Here is a 15763-nt window from a genome sequence, read left to right on the forward strand (position 1 = left end):
TCTCTCCTTCCTCCCTAGGCCCCCACTGCCCCGACTCGCAGGCCGCAGACAAGGCTGAGAGCGCTACCTTGCTTTCCCGCGCTCGCCTCGGTGCCTACTGCGCCTGCGCGAGCTGTGAGGGCGGGACCCAGAGACACCCGCCCCAACTACTGGCGTGCGCCCTCTGCTGTCGCCTAACGGAACTCCGGGCGCGCGTGCGCACGCACCCCAAGCCACGCCCCGCCAGGCTGCCGGCGCGCGAGCGGTTGGCGCCGCTCCCTGCCTTCCCTCTCCTACAGTGGGGCGGGGCCGGGCCGCCCGAGTCGGGGGTGGAAGGCGGGGGCCACATAATGCCACGCCCCCGCCTCGTCCCCATTTGAAGCCCCGCGACTCTTCACTGCTGGTCAATCAGAGCCCGTGCTCTCCCTAGTGCCGGCCAATGGGAGGTGCGCTCGGGCTGCTTCCGGCTCCGCGCTCCGCTCGCCCCCTCCCAAGGTCTCCCCGCGACTGGCGGGACGCAGGGGCGGGCGTCGGCCGCGGTGACGCGCAGCGGGCCTGGAGCCAATAAGGGGCGGGCTCGGTGCTGATGGACGGTGCTGGTGGCCAGTGGAGAGGCGCTGGCCGCACTTCCCGTCGGGGAGAGAGTGTAATATGGCGAAGACCTACGATTACCTGTTCAAGCTGCTGCTGATCGGGGACTCGGGGGTGGGGAAGACCTGTGTCCTGTTCCGCTTCTCCGAGGACGCCTTCAACTCCACTTTTATCTCCACCATAGGTAACGGGACCGGGGAATGGCTGGGGGCGCCGGAGGCCCGGGCTGGGCGCGCCCCTGAGGGGCTGGGGCTGAGGGATCTACAGGGCTGGACGGGCCGAGGGCGCTGAGAGGGTCGAGGGGGCCTAAAGGGAGAAGAGCAGTCGCCTGCACCGCCGTTCGGGGGTTCCTGGGCCGTGGTGGGGGAGACCAGGTGCCCATTTTGCAGATAGGGAGACTGAGGCTCCGACCCTCAGCCCGCTCGTTAGGGCGTGTTATGTCTTGGGCTGGGGTCTTCGCGCCCGTCCTCTCGATCTGTCCTAGCAGCAGCCCTCGAAGCGGTTCTTTTGAGGCTCTTGCCTTACAGAAGTGGAAACTGAGTCATGGGGAATTGGCCATGGGAAAAAGACAGTGGCATCTCACCTTAATGAGCATTTACTATGTGCCAAGTGCTTCACGTGCATTTTCACACTCTTCAGTTCTTGGTGTTAAGTGCTGTTATGAGCCCGTCTGACAAGATGAGGAATCTGAGGCTCAGGGAGGGCATGGAACTTGCCCAAGGCCACACAGTCTGCACGTGGTGAGAATGGGATTTGATGGAATTTGAACCTGGCTGTGTCTCAACCCAAAACTCGAGGCTTAGCTCTCCTAGAGAGATGCCACTGCACACTCCCAGCTGATGACAAGCTCAGCTAATGCACCTTGGAGCCGGGACTCTAACCCACACCATTCCTGCTCTTTTCTCTGGAGCGTTCAGAGGTTGAGCCCCTCTCCCTGACCATGCTTCCCCTCATAAGCGTATTTTCCTCTAGAAGGAATGATAAGAAGAGTCAGGACCTTTTCCCTGCCCACCTTTCATCCTGCTCCAGGAATGACAGCAATGGCAAGTGACAGCACTGCCTGCCCTGGGACCTGTCATCCCCAAGAAGATGCAAGATAAAAGCCTCAGCGAGAAACTAAATCAGCCACTGCCACAGACAGCCTTGACTTCCCTATCAAAGGGCCCAAGACTCCAGCTGTCACTTTAGAACAGCTTTTCCTGTAGGGCCAGCCCACATTGTGGTTGAACAGAATTGGCTTGGTGCATCTCAGTTGTGATGTCCACAGAAGTGGAGCTGACCTCTCTCAGTGCCACAAAAGCAGTCCTGGCCCACAATGAAAAGGTTTGACCCAGGAGTAACACCTATTTGAGTGGCTTGTGAGCTCTGTAGCCCTGCTAGGGATGGGGAAAGTGGGGGAACGGTCACTAAGTCCAGGAGTTTATTCCGACTCAAGAAAACCTAGGGAATGGCCTTTGCTTTACTGTGTCACTTTGACAGAATCGTGTTATCTCCCTGAACCCCAAGATAATGTGCTAATTCCATTCTTGCCCTCCTCCAGGAGCTATGCTTTATTTATTTTATTTTATTTTATTTTTTGAGACGGAGTCTAGCTCTTTTGCCCAGGCTGGAATCCAGCGGCAGGATCTCGGGTCACTACAACCTCTGCCTCCCGGGTTCAAGCAATTCTCCTGCCTCAGCCTCCCTAGTAGCTGGGATTATAGGCACCCGCCACCACGTCCAGCTAATTTTTGTATTTTTAGTAAATACAGGGTTTCACTGTGTTGGTCAGGCTGGTCTCGAACTCCTGACCTTGTGATCTGCCTGCCTTGGCATCCCAAAGTGCTGGGATTACAAGCATGAGCCACCGCACCCAGCGGAGCTGTGCTTTATAAAACAGTTATATGCCAGATGTAAAATAGAGAGAATTGACTGGAAATCATTACGTCTGGTTTCCAGTTGCTGTTTGCCCTTGAATGTGCACTACCCCTCTCTGAGCCCTGCTGTCTTTAGAGCAGGAGTGACACTGTCTGCCCAGCCTAGTGCCCTGGTGGTTGAGGATTAGAATTAGACAATAAGGGGTTGTCACCACAACCAGAGGCTATCTAGAGGAAGCAAATGAATGGCTCCTGCAGTGACAGCATCCAGCCTCTGAAGACAGATGTTTCTGAATTCTTCCCCCTCCCCCACTCCAAGGCTAAACTTTAGGGTAATTCTTGTGCTCCAACCAATCAAGAAGTGGCGTTAATTCAGCCTGGGCAACATGGCAAACCCCATCTCTACAAAAAATAAAATAAAATCAGCCGGGCACAGTGGCTCACCCATGTAGACCCAGCCACTTGGGAGGCCAAGGTGGGAGGATCGATTGAGCCCAGGAGGTCAAGGTGCAGTGAGCTGTGATGGTGTCACTGCACTCCAGCCTGGGCAACAGAGCGAGACCCTGTCTTAAAAAATAATAATAAAAATAAAAGAAAGAAAGAAATGATGTTAACTGTGAGCAGACTGGCTTGCATTCACTCAGATCCCAGTTTCCCAGCCTTCCCCACAAACCCCCCTCTTTTTTTTTTTTTTTTTTTGAGACAGTCTCTCTTTGTCACCCAGTCTGGAGTGCAGTGGCGCGATCTCGGCTCACTGCAACTTCCACCTCCCAGGTTCCAGCGATTCTCCTGTCTCAGCCTCCCAAGTAGCTGGGATTACAAGCACCTGCCACCATGCCCAGCTAATTTTTGTATTTTTTTTTTTTTTTTTTTAGTAGAGATGGGGTTTCACCATGTTGGCCAGGCTGGTCTCGAACTCCTGACCTCGTGACCGCCCACCTTGGCCTCCCAAAGTGCTGGGATTACAAGCATGAGCCACCGCGCCCAGCCCAACCCCCCTCTTTAGAGTTACTTTGAGCTTTAAAGAGGCTTTCTTCCATTTGCAGATGAGGATGTGACTTGGTGAAAGTTACCTAGCAAGGTGGAGGTGGCACCTGACCCTAAGATCCCTCCCTCCCACCCCTTCATTCCCCTCCTTCCATTTGTAGCCTTCTGTCTTCTAGGAAAGTCTAATTCACCATGACCTTGAAGGTCAGACCTCATAATTCTTAGGCCTCATAAAGTTTACACTTCCTAATTAAATTTGGCATGTTAATAAAACCCAGAGGAGTGTAGGGCGGAGTGCTGCTGTGGAGCTTGGCCAACCTAACAGTGCTCCTCGATTTTTTGTGTCCCTGTACACGTGTGACAGGAAATGGGGAATGTTTTAGGAAGCCCAGGCACACTGGGCTGTCTAGTCCTGAAGCAGTATCACCTTAATGCTTAAAGGTGATTCCATAAATTAGCCATACGTGGTGGCGCTTGCCTGTATTCCCAGCTACTCAGGAGGCTGAGGCAGGAGAATCGCTTGAATCCAGGAGGCAGAGGTTGCAGTGAGCCAAGATTGTGCCAGTGCACTCCAGCCTGGGCAACAGAGCAAAACTCTGTCTCCAAAAAAAAAAAGAAGCAATTCTATATTGGCTGAGTGTACCTCTGGGTTTTCTTTATAGACAAGGATTGAGTGGCTATTCATTTTCTGCCACTCAATCCTTAACATTTTGCCAAAAGTTACATTTCATCAAAGCCTATTCTCAGAAGCCCCATAGATCATTTGTGGTGTGAACTTGGCCCTGTAGCTCCCTGGAATGGGTTCTCACCAGCCTGGCTCGGCGCCACTGCCTCCTCAGGGGCCCATTGATTCCTCCAGTGAAAGGGTTGGCATTTGAGAAAGTGCTTTGTGAACCGCTCAACACCGCGTAGACCCTGTTGCGCTTTAATACTTTGATCCAGCCATATTTTGCCAGTGTCTTCTGTGGGCCAGGCAGCCATTTTGGCAAGAGGGCTGCAGAAAGGACACAGGTGAGTCAAGGTGCGTGCAGGACTGGGGTACCAGCTTCTAGCAAATGTGTATTCAACCCCTGTGTGTTCAGTCACTGGAGGTAATAGCAGTGGATGAGACTTGTCAGTTCCCTGCCCCAGGGAGCTTACGTTTGAGAGGGCGAAAGTCCAGTGCTGGGGCTGGATGGATGGAATTAGCATCCCCACCCTGGGTTCAGAGAGGCCCAGCCAGGCCTGGGCCTCAAGTCTTCCCCAGCAGGCACTTGAACAAACTCCTGGTGGCAAAGGCTGGGTCTGGCTGTTTCTCATCTACATGGGCCATTATGATCTGCAAGCATTATGCCCAGGTCCATGCAGCAGATACATACATGTATGTCAGTTATGTTAATAAATAGGTAAAGGGAGAACTGATGAGGATGGTCAGAAAGGTTCCCCTGAGGAGGGAACTTGAATGGGAACCTGAACAAAGGGATAGCCAGGTAGCTACAGAAGAAAGAACTTTCCAGGGCAGGGAAGAGCAAACATCAAAGCCCCGAGTCAGGAGCATGCTTGGAATGTTGAGGAAATCGCTGTGTGGATGGTGTGGCCAGAGAGAGCAGGTCATGAGCCAGAGTGCTGAGAGGTGACCAGGTTAGGCAGGACCTTGACACACATGAGCAGCTGTTTCCACTTTATTCGAGGGAAGTGGGGCAGGGAAGCCACTGAAAGAGGCTTTAAAAAAAAATAGCTTTATGAGATAGAATTCGCATACAGTTCACCCATTTGCAGTGTACAATTCAGTGGCTTTGGGTACATTCACAGAGTTCCACAACCATCACCACAGGCAATTTGGGAACATTTTTATTATGCCAAAAAGACACCAACCCAAGGCCAGGCACGCACGGTGGCACAGTGGCTCACGCCTGTAATCCCAGTACTTTGGGAGGCTGAGGTGGGCAGATCACGAGGTCAAGAGATCGAGAACAGCCTGGCCAACATGGTGAAACCCTGTCTCTACTAAAAATAGAAAAATTAGCTGGGCATGGTGGCGCGTGCCGGCAGTCCCAGCTACTTGGGAGGCTGTGGCAGGAGAATCACTTGAACCCGGGAGGCAGAGGTTGCAGTGAGCCAAGATTGCACCACTGCACTCCAGGCTAGCCAAGATCGCACCACTGCACTCCAGGCTAGCCAAGATCGCACCACTGCACTCCAGCCTGGTGACAGAGAAACTCCATCTCAAAAAAAAAAAAAAAAAGGATACCAACCCTTCCAGTTTCCCCATGTGCCCCCCCAGCCCCAGACAACTGCTAATCAGCTTTCTGTTTCTATGAATGAGCCTATGCTGGACATGTCTGTTAATGGAATCTCACACTAAGTGACCTTTAGTGTCTGGCTTCTCTCAGCATCCTGTCTTCAAGGTTCATCCACATTGTATAGCATGGATGAGTACTCCGTTCCTTTTTATGACTGGGTCATATTCTGTTGTATGGTTGGACCACATTTTGTTCATCCATTCATCTGTTGGTGGACATACTAGAAAGTTTGGAGCAGAGGGCCGGGTGCGGTGGCTGATGCCTATAATCCCAGCACTTTGGGAGGCTGAGGCAGGCAGATCATTTGAGGTCAGGAGTTTGAGACCAGCCTGGCCAACACGGTGAAACCCCATCTCTACTAAAAACTCAAAAATTGGCCGGGCATTGTGGCAGGCACCTGTGGTCCCAGCTACTCGGGAGGCTGAGGCAGGAGAATCACTTGAACCTGGGAGACAGAGGCTGCAGTGAGCCAAGATTGTGCCACTGCACTCCAGCCTGGGCGACAGAGCGAGACTCCATCTCAAAAAAAAAAAAAGAAAGTAAGTTTGGAGCAGAGGTTAGCTGTGTAACATGGTTAGGGTTATATTTTTGAAGGCTGGGGAGGGGACTGCGGGTGAACAGTGGGAGCCTGGGGAACATCAAGGTGGCTGCGAGGTCACCGTGGGGAAAGGGGATGAAAGCGGGAGGTGAGAGACAAGGAAGATGGGGTCAGGAAGGCTTGTTAGGAGGTGATCTTCAAGGGGGCCTTAAAGGAGGAGAAGTGTGCCTAGCTGACGGGCCAGTGGGACACAGACCACCCGCAGAAAATGAATAGCATGTACAAAAGCTGGGGGCAGGAGAGAACGTGACCATGTGCATTGACGCATGGTGGGGCCTAAGGCCCTGTGTGCCTGGGGGTTGGTCAGCTGCAGGGTGTTGGGGAGCAAGGGACTCAGGCCTGCAGAGGGCTCTGTTGAGACCCACTCCGTACAACTGCCTGGGGTGGGGAGGCGGGTTCAGCTGGCAGCAAGGGACAAGAGCAGGGCTTTGCCACCCGCGCCCCCTGGGTTTGCTCTGCACTGCTCCCATCAGCTCTTGGAGAGGGAAAATATCTCCAAGTGTTTCCAGATCTGGATATTCCGACATCCTGCATGCCCAGCACCAGGCAGGGTCTCCGTAAGCCACAACAGCTGTCACCTGCACAGGTTGGTGGCGCCCAGCTCAGACACAACTTGGGAAATGGGCTGACAGTGACGTGCCTTTTTTCTTTTTTCTTTCAGGAATTGACTTTAAAATTAGGACCATAGAGCTCGATGGCAAGAGAATTAAACTGCAGATATGGTAAGAGTCATTGTTCTCTGTCATTCTCTCCACCTGGCAATGGCTTCAAGCCAGAAGCCCTTGGCCTTCTCCCTCCACCGTCCCTGTGACCTTGGCCTCCATTTCTTGGTGCCCAGTCCTGGCACATGGGGCTTTCTCCAGAAGCTCCTGGAGGTTTATACCCAGCCCAGAGAGCTGTCCTCTGCTGGCTGCAGGGCACCAGGGCCTACAGCATCATAGGCACAAAGCTGCCCAGCCCTGGCTAGCTCAGTGTTCCACAGTGGGCACCATCTGGGTCTGGCCTTCAGAGTGGGCTGCTTCTGTTGAACGGGAAGAGAGCCCTCTCAGTGCCAGGTGCTGGTGACGCCTGCAGGGACTGTGAGATGCCCCAGCCGAGAGTTTCCTTTTGAGCCTCTCAACCCACTCAGAAGCATAAAGGTCCAACTTCACTTCCTCTTTTCTCCCCTGGGGCAGGCCTGGCCTCCCTTCCTAGCGTACAGACCGAAACCCCAAACCGAAATTAAGCGGAGGGCCGGGCCCCATGTTGAGACCTGTTTCCATTCCTGAGAACTAAGGGTGACTTCCCATGCACATACAATTAGGGAAGTGGGGAGACTCCAAGTCGCCATCGCTGGCCTGATTCTAGTTTGCTGAGACTGAGTTCAGGTGGCGGGTATAGTGGGGTCCTGCCCTGCACACATGCCACTCGCACAGAGTCACTGGCCCTGAGCAAAACAAAGAGAAGTCACATTTAAGAGCATGGTGCAATTTCCCTGTCACCCAAACCAGGCAAGTGCCTTTGAGTGGGAGCAGTGTGCCAGGAGATGGGCCACGAAGTCATCCTCCCTCAAGTCTCAAAGTTTGACCGGTCACCCCCACTTGCCAGTTTCAGGGAGCCCCACAGCTACCCTTGACTCCAGGTGCTATTCACCTCTTCTTTTTTTTTCTTCTTTTTTTGAGACGGAGTTTCGCTCTTGTCGCCTAGGCTGGAGTGCAATGGCGCGATCTTGTCTCACCGCAACCTCTGCCCCCCGGGTTCAAGTGATTCTCCTGCCTCAGCCTCCCAAGTAGCTGGTATTACAGGCATGCACCACCACGCCCAACTAATTTTGTATTTTTAGTAGAGACGGGGTTTCTCCATGTTGGTCAGGCTGGTCTCCAACTCCCGACCTCAGGTGACCCACCCACCTCGGCCTCCCAAAGTGCTGGGATTATAGGCGTGAGCCACCACGCCCGGCCCTACTGTTCACCTCTTAATCTGACTTTGGGAGTCGGGTAGGTTTAACTTGCAGTTCATCCTGCAGACATTGGTAGTAAGTCAAGCTCTGGCTGCCTTGTAAGTTCCAAGCCATGGAAGTTTCTCCACTTCCAGCACGTTGGTGCCATGTCACCCTTTGTTCCCAAGTCCAAAGTGACACTGCATCAGCAAGCAGAAGTTTCACTTTCCTCCTGCCTTCCTGCTTCTGCTCTTAGCAATCGTGGTGAGGTTAGTGACTCAAAACTCTTCTAAGGACTGTAGTTGAAAAAAAAATGACTGGTTTTTTTTTTTGTTTCTTTGTTTTTTTGAGACAGAGTTTTGCTCTTGTTGCCCAGGCTGGAGTGCAGTGGCACGATTTTGGCTCACTGCAACCTCCGCCTCCTGGGTTCAGGCAATTCTTCTGCCTCGGCCTCCCAAGTAGCTGGGATTACAGGTGCCTGCCACCACGCTCGGCTAATTTTGTATTTTTAGTAGAGACGGGGTTTCGCCATGTTGGCCAGGTTGGCTTCGAACCCCTGAATTCAGGTGATCCACCCGCCTCGGCCTCCCAAAGTGCTGGAATTACAGGCGTGAGCCACCGCACCTGGCAAAAATGACTGTTTTTAACCACTCATGTCTCCTGCTGCTGGTGTCAGAAAGTCAGCTTAGCTCCAAGCAAGGTGTTTCTGCACAATCCAGACGTATAGAGCCCTCCGGGTCCCAGCAGGGCCGTGGGAGGAACCCTGGGCTTGGAGACAAAAGACCTGAGTCTTGCCCTGGCTCTGTCACCAATCAGTTAGGTCACCTTTAATTTTTTTTTTTTTTTTTTTGACAAAGTCTCACTCTGTCACCCAGGCTGGAGTGCAGTGGCATGATCTCAGCTCACTGCAACCTCCACTTCCTTGGTTCAAGCAATTCTCGTGCTTCAGCTTCCCGAGTAGCTGGGATTACAGGCACCTGCCACCATGCCTGGCTAACTTTTGTATTTTTAGTAGACAGGGTTTCACCATGTTGGTCAGGCTGATCTCAAACTCCTGACCTCAGGTGATCTGCTGGCCTCAGCCTCCCAAAGTGCTGAGATTACGGGAGTGAGCCAACACGCCTGGCTTTTTTTTTTTTTTTTCCTGAGACAGAGTCTTACTCTGTCACCCATGCTGGAATATAGCGGCACGATCTCAGGTCACTGCAACCTCCACCTCCCAGGTTCAAGCGATTGTTGTGTCTCGGCCTCCTAAGTAGCTGGGACTACAGATCCACGCCATCATGCCCGCCTAATTTTTGTATTTTTAGTAGAGATGAGGTTTCATTGTGTTGGTCAGGCCGGTCTCGAACTCCTGGCCTCAGGTGATCCACCCGCCTCGGCCTCTTAAAGTGCTGGGATTACAGATGTAAGCCACTGCACCAGGCCAGTTAGGTTACCTTTTTTTTTTTTGAGACGGAGTCTTGCTCTGTCACCCAGGCTGGAGTACAGTGGTGCAATCTCGGCTCACTGCAGCCTCCACCTCCTGGGTTCCAGCAGTTCTCCTGCCTCAGCCTCCCAGGTAGCTGGGATTACAGGCACGTGCCACCATGCCTGGCTAATTTTTGTATTTTTTGTAGGGACGGGGTTTCACCAAGTTGGCCAGGCTGGTCTCAACCTCCTGACCTCAGGTGGTCCACCTGCCTCGGCCTCCCAAAGTGCTAGGATTACAGATGTGAGCCACTGCGCCCGGCCAGTTAGGTTACCTACCTTTAAACCAAACACTAAGTACCCTTCAAGCCAGGAGCTGGACTGGGCATGGGTATGTCTTACCCAGGCATCACCTCCCGGGCAATAGGCCCTGTGTTCCTTGTCATGCAGATGAGGAGGGACTTTCCCCATCATTCAAACCAAGATGGCAGGCCTGAAAGCTTTTCCTGAGTCCCAGCCACCCTCAACAGCAAGAGCTATGTTCCTGAGCCACATGACTGGCTCTTCTGTGAACCAGAAACTCCAGGGAGAATTCCCTGGAAGCAAAGGTGCAGAAGAGGAGAAGGCGCATGGGTCAGGGATCCCATCATGGCTCTGCCACATCAAATGACCCCTCCAGGCCACAGTGTCCTTCCCTGTAATAATAGGGAGATTAGAAGGTGCTGCCTTAGCAGAAGAAGGTATCACAGTGGCTGAACGGTGAGAAAGCCAGGCATCCCGGGTAGATGCTCCTTGTCTCCTACTGAGGACAGTTATTTTCCTTTAATGTTGCTAATATCCCTTCTCTTCATGTTTAGGGACACAGCCGGTCAGGAACGGTTTCGGACGATCACAACGGCCTACTACAGGGGTGCAATGGTAGGGACTTTTTGTTTGGTTGTTTTTATCTGCTTTTTAAGTCAACATGGGAGCGTCACTGTGCATTGGTTACCGAAGCCTAGATGTTTCTGTGGAGCCCGTGCCCCAACTCCTCAGGGCTCCTTGGTCCCAAGTTAGTCTTAGGAACAGGCTTTGTGCCCCGGCCTACCCCCATGTACATACCTCCCCTTCTGGCTGCAGAGACAATGCAAGGTTTAAATAAAGTGGAAACATAATTCTTTGGGAATGAAGAAAGACACAGGAAGCCGGTTCTTCCAGGTGAGCTCAGTGCAGTTAAAGCCGGCATGCCCCGACTTTTAGGAGCTGTCACATGACCTGCATCTGTCTCTGAAATTTGCTACCAAAAGCTTGAAGATCTTCCAGGAGCTGACCTGCCCTGGGCTGTCGGCCGTTATATCCGTCACCCAGGCCTGAGGCGGGATGACGTGATGGGAAGACTCAGTCATCATCCCTCAAAACATTTCTCAAGCACCTTCTCTGGGCCAGGCCTTAACTAGATGCAGAAGGCGGCCAGGGATGGGACGAGGTCCTGTGTCAGGGGCCCTGTGTGTACATGGCAGGGCATTCAGGGGTAGAGGGAGCAGGAGGTGGAGCCCCTGGACCTGACCTGAGACCCTGGCTTGCCCACTGAGCTCCATCTCCTGACTTGGAAAAGGGAACGGAGCACAGCACTGTGTCTCGGGCTGTGCTGAGGATAAACGGCTGCCTCTCCCCATTCCCAGGTCCCTCTGCTCCCCACTCTTTCCTCCGCATACCCCATCATTTAATTGCTCAGGCAGCTGCCTGTTTCCTCGATGAGGGCAGCGCCACATCCTGGTCCCTGCCATCTGCCTGGCCCCGGGGAACCTGCTGGGTCTGCAGTAGTTGCTCAGGAAAGACTTGTGGAGGGTGGAGATGGAAGGAGGCATTATGTGTTTAGAGCATCCCACACGGCATCCGAAACCTCATGGCAACCCACTCGTGTGGGCTGCAGCCTTAGTGTGCCTCAGTAAAATTAATGTATTTCTTTCCCCCCACCTCACAGTTCTCTGGTGGAGGGTGGGCAGGCGGCCTGAGGGCACTGGGGTCTTGGGGAGCTTCAGCCTCTGGAGAAAACTGTGACCTGGGGCCTGTCCCGATCTTCTCTGGGCCCAAATAGCCACCTTCCACCCTGCCCTGACCACCAAGCCCTCCCCTGCACCAGGCAGTGGGCCCAGGTCTTAGCTCAGATTATCTCATTGCATTTTGGCTGTGAACCTCTTTGTGCAGGCGCCATTGTCATCCCTGTTTTATAACAAAGAACCTGAGGTTTGGCCCGGTGGCCTGCCCCGCTGAAGTTCACTCAGCAGGTAAATGGCTAGGCTGGGCTGGGCTGTTTGTCTCTAGCACCCACATCCTCAACCAGCACCAAGATGATCGTGGCTTTCCATCCTCCTAGACCCAGGCCAACCTGAACAGATGCCACCACTGGCTGCATGTGGCTATTTGAATTTACCCAATTAACATTGAAAATCCAGCCAGGCGCAGTGGCTGATGCCTGTAATCCCAGCACTTTGGGAGGCCGAGGTGGGTAGATCTCTTGAGGTCAGGAGTTGGAGACCAGCCTGGCCACATGGTAAAATTCCATCTCTACTAAAAATACAAAAATTAGCTGGGCGTGGTGGCGGATGCCTGTAATCCCAGCTACTCAGGAGGGTGAGGCAGGAGAATCGCTTAAACCTGGGAGCCGGAGGTTGCGGTGAGCCGAGGTTGCACCACTGCACTCCAGTCTGGGCAGCAGAGCAAGTATCCGTCGCTTAACTACTTAATTAATTAATTAATTTTAAAAAACATTGAAAATCCAGCTCCTTGGGTCAAAGCAGCTATGTTTCTGATGCCCTAGAGCCTTGTGTAGCCAGTATCAGTCATATGGGACAGCACCACCATTGCAGCTGTGTCCTCATCTCTGTCAGCATGCTCATAGACCCTTGGGCCTCAAAATCCCAAGTTTGGGAAGCATTGGATGCCTAGAGACCCATGGTGAGGTTTGCCCAGACGGGGCCCTGGAAAATAGTCACTTGGAGCCCTGAGGGGTGTTTCCAGGAAAACCTGGAATAGGATGGCTGGCTCAGTGTTTTCCAGGTGCTTCTGCTTGATTCTAAGAGAGAGCTCTACCCACTGCCCCACTAACGTCCAGGTTCTCCCCTCAGCTCCCTGAAATAGGTATAATCCAGGAATTTGAGTCTTAGGCACATGTCACCAACTTAGTGGTGAAGGCAGGAATCCTGGGCTTTCAGAGGGTCCAGTCCCCGGATAAAGGGCCCCACGCCCCCTGTCCCTGACCATGTCACAGTCACAGGGTGTGCCCACCGTGGATGGGGCATGGCAGACATCATGGGCCACTGCAGCCTTGAGGTTCTTCGCCATGGTTGCGGCTGACTGTGAGGCCATTATTCATGTCCCTGAATTCCCAGGAGGATTTGGGGTTGCAGTGACTTTCTTGCCCCATCTGTGTCGTTTTTGTCCCACACTCTTGCACCCACATCTGTCTCACCATTACCACATGGCCCGTGTCCTTATTCTGCAAACTTGGATGGCCCCAGACAACTTGGCCAGCAGCAGAAGTCATCAGTGCCCTCAGGTGCCACAGATGCAGGGCTGGGCCTGGGGAGCAGGTAGCGAGGAGGAAGGAAGAAATCCAGGCCTGGCCATGAGCAGGCCACGTGCCTTGGAGCCCAGGATGCCCGGCAACAAAGGGGGACTTGTGATGGCACTGCAGGCTGGCCCGCTGTGGGCACTCCACAAGGACATCGAGAACCACACAGACCGTCAGAGGGTGGCCCCCACATGTGGGTTCTGGGGCTGAAAAAGGCCCAGGGATATTGCTGAGAGGATAGGTGTCATCAGTGCTTTTGGAGTTAGCCCCCCCCCGCCCCCCGTGCTTGAATCTTAAAGGTCACGTCTCTGTGCCTCAGTTTCCCCTTGCATCGCATGGGCATGTTTGCGCTTGTCCACAGCAGTAGCGAGGCTGTGGACCCAGGCTGAGGCGGGGCTGCCCCGAAGCTCTTCCAGGACCCACGAGCCGTCTCCCAGTTGCTCACGTCTAGGTTAGGGAACTGGAAGGGCCTTGGCACTCTCGGCTCCATCTTCACACAGCCGGTTCCCTCTGTGGTGGGGTCACTGGAAGTTGTGTGGATGTCGGGTCAGGACTTCCTGGGCTCAGTTGTGCCTGGTAGGTGGCTCAGGCAGAGCGTGGGGTGAGCAAGGGGTGAAGAGGAGGCCGATTGCAGGGGAGGGTCAGCGTGAGGGGAGTGCTGCTGGCAGTGGGCCTGTGGACCGGCTCCCACCGTCAGGCTGCACCACCCCGTGGGCCATGAGGGGAGCCAGCCGGGCTTGTCAGCGAGTGCGTGGCAGGGGCTGGCCTGTGAGGCAGAAGGGTCACCTCAGCGGCCCGGGGGGCAGGACAAGGCTGGTGCCAGAACCCAGCAGAAAGAAGGGCCACAGGGATGGAGAGGAGGGGGCTGGCTTCCGGGGCTCCACAGAGGTGGGGAGGGCGGCAGCTAATGGGCCTGGCTGTGCAGTGGGTGCTGGGCTCCCCACCACTGTTCTCTGGTGCCGCTGAGGCCTCCCTTCCAGAGCCTGCAGCCGATCAGGCACCTGTGTCTTCTCTCCCCGCGCAGGGCATCATGCTGGTCTACGACATCACCAACGAGAAGTCCTTCGACAACATCCGGAACTGGATTCGCAACATTGAGGAGGTGAGGCCCTCCGGCTCCTCCCACTGTCCCTGCTTCAGTCCTTGTCCCAGAGCCCTCTGGTTTACTCATGAGAAGGCCAAGGTGCAGAGACACATACAGGCCACTTGCCCACAGCCTCCTAGTCAGGGACATGGTGGGAGCAGGGACTGAGATGCAAGCAGCCGGCCCCAGGGACCACACACTGGCCTGGCCCCACCCCGGAGCCCCTCGGAGCCCATCCCTCCAGCTAGGCTGTTGGATCTGGCCAGTGTCATGGTTATAAGAGAAAGGATATCCAAGCTTGTGGTCACCATGAGTGTTGGGTGCTTTCTAGAGAAGGAAGGGTCTAGCACAGGTGTGACCCTTGTAGTTGGAGGGTGTGGTGAGCAGGCGTCAGTTGTACTTTGAGCTATATCGGAGCAGGGTGTGACCTGGTACAAACGACCTGTGTTCAGACCTTGAACCATAGAGCAGTGAGAAGTAGGCCAACCCCTCCTCCCCTCCCAAAGCCAGCATCTTCATCTTCTGCTCCCCAAAGAGCTGACCTCACCCCCAAAGCCTTCCTGGCTGCCGGCACCTGCAGCTTTCTATAACTAACCATGTGGGGCTTCAGGTCTGAGGCACAGCCAGAGAACTTTTCCCATCTATAAAACCACAGCAAAAGGGCATATCACTGTCCACCCAGGACTCATGGACCTCCCAGGCCAGGCCGAGAGGCCACCCCATCATTTGTGAGTCATTGCACTGGGCTCACCTCCCCAGTGACCCTGAGAGGGCTGTGCTGCCAAATTTGCCAGTGCAGGGCTGCACCCCAGCTGGGAAAGCTGTCTTCATCCGTGGAGAGGAGGAGAGCCTGGTCTTTGTGAAAGGTCTCTGTTTCTGGCCAGCGGGCAGGAGCCACCTTCTGGTTCATGGGAAGTGAGGCAGGGAGTGGCGCAGTAGGTTCCAGAGACCAAGTCTGAGCTGGTGGAAGAAGACAGCAGTTTCCAGTGTCCCCGTCCTCCAGGAAGCGTGGTCCGCTCCATGGGGACCCAGGGAGACTTGACGAAGGAGCTGCCTTTGGGTATGAGGGCAGAGTTTGGGCAACATCAGACAGGGTGGTGAAGTGCCTGCAGCTGGTGACGGCCTCGAGTTGCGACCACCTCAGGCACGGCCTGTTTCTGGAGCCCAAAAATAGTTGAAATGTCAGGGCCAGGCGAGGTGGCTTATGCCTGTAATCCCAGCAGTTTGGGAGGCTGAGGCGGGCAGATCACCTGAGGTCAGAAGTTTGAGACCAGCCTAGCCAACATGGCGAAACTCTGTCTCTACTAAAAATACAAAAAATTAGCCTGGTATGGTGGCAGATGCCTGTAATCTCAGCTATTCGGGAGGTTGAGGATCGCTTGAACCTGAAGGCAGAGGTTGCAGTGAGCCGAGATCATGCCACTACACTCCAGCCTGGGAGACAGAACGAGACTCCATCTCAAAAAAAAACAAAAAAAAAAGTGTCAAAGCAGAAGGTCCCAGGA

At 54.1% G+C, this 15763-nt stretch overlaps 1 protein-coding gene and 1 long non-coding RNA gene across 3 annotated transcripts in view, besides 6 other annotated features; one reads left to right on the forward strand and one right to left on the reverse strand.

Annotated features, from left to right (window-relative positions):
- Positions 1-660: a silencer, noted in NCBI's record as "silent region_10290". NCBI's record gives its function as "represses an Ori minimal core promoter by ATAC-STARR-seq in GM12878 lymphoblastoid cells {active_cell/tissue: GM12878}" and the evidence as "EXISTENCE:reporter gene assay evidence [ECO:0000049][PMID:35858748]".
- Positions 618-15763, forward strand: part of RAB8A (RAB8A, member RAS oncogene family) — a 22346-nt gene continuing 7200 nt past the window's right edge. The window contains exons 1-4 of the mRNA NM_005370.5: positions 618-754; positions 6955-7015; positions 10479-10539; positions 14199-14276. Coding sequence (NP_005361.2) covers positions 631-754; positions 6955-7015; positions 10479-10539; positions 14199-14276 — 324 coding nt within the window. The 5' untranslated portion in view covers positions 618-630. The remainder of the gene's footprint in view (positions 755-6954; positions 7016-10478; positions 10540-14198; positions 14277-15763) is intronic.
- Positions 6163-6412: an enhancer, noted in NCBI's record as "active region_14203". NCBI's record gives its function as "activates an Ori minimal core promoter by ATAC-STARR-seq in GM12878 lymphoblastoid cells {active_cell/tissue: GM12878}" and the evidence as "EXISTENCE:reporter gene assay evidence [ECO:0000049][PMID:35858748]".
- Positions 7543-7632: an enhancer, noted in NCBI's record as "active region_14204". NCBI's record gives its function as "activates an Ori minimal core promoter by ATAC-STARR-seq in GM12878 lymphoblastoid cells {active_cell/tissue: GM12878}" and the evidence as "EXISTENCE:reporter gene assay evidence [ECO:0000049][PMID:35858748]".
- Positions 7793-7852: an enhancer, noted in NCBI's record as "active region_14205". NCBI's record gives its function as "activates an Ori minimal core promoter by ATAC-STARR-seq in GM12878 lymphoblastoid cells {active_cell/tissue: GM12878}" and the evidence as "EXISTENCE:reporter gene assay evidence [ECO:0000049][PMID:35858748]".
- Positions 8333-8382: an enhancer, noted in NCBI's record as "active region_14206". NCBI's record gives its function as "activates an Ori minimal core promoter by ATAC-STARR-seq in GM12878 lymphoblastoid cells {active_cell/tissue: GM12878}" and the evidence as "EXISTENCE:reporter gene assay evidence [ECO:0000049][PMID:35858748]".
- Positions 8803-8852: an enhancer, noted in NCBI's record as "active region_14207". NCBI's record gives its function as "activates an Ori minimal core promoter by ATAC-STARR-seq in GM12878 lymphoblastoid cells {active_cell/tissue: GM12878}" and the evidence as "EXISTENCE:reporter gene assay evidence [ECO:0000049][PMID:35858748]".
- The window catches only part of HSH2D-AS1 (HSH2D and RAB8A antisense RNA 1), an 18077-nt gene continuing 12881 nt past the window's right edge, over positions 10568-15763 (reverse strand). Inside the window, exon 2 of one of the 2 annotated variants that reach the window (NR_199155.1) lies at positions 10568-15218. This is a non-coding gene — a long non-coding RNA (HSH2D and RAB8A antisense RNA 1). Of the gene's footprint in view, positions 15717-15763 lie in introns of both variants that reach the window. The other variant, NR_199156.1, reaches the window with a different exon arrangement.

The sequence above is a fragment of the Homo sapiens genome, chromosome 19 (genome assembly GCF_000001405.40).
Source record: "Homo sapiens chromosome 19, GRCh38.p14 Primary Assembly".
Classification (NCBI taxonomy): Eukaryota; Metazoa; Chordata; class Mammalia; order Primates; family Hominidae; genus Homo; species Homo sapiens.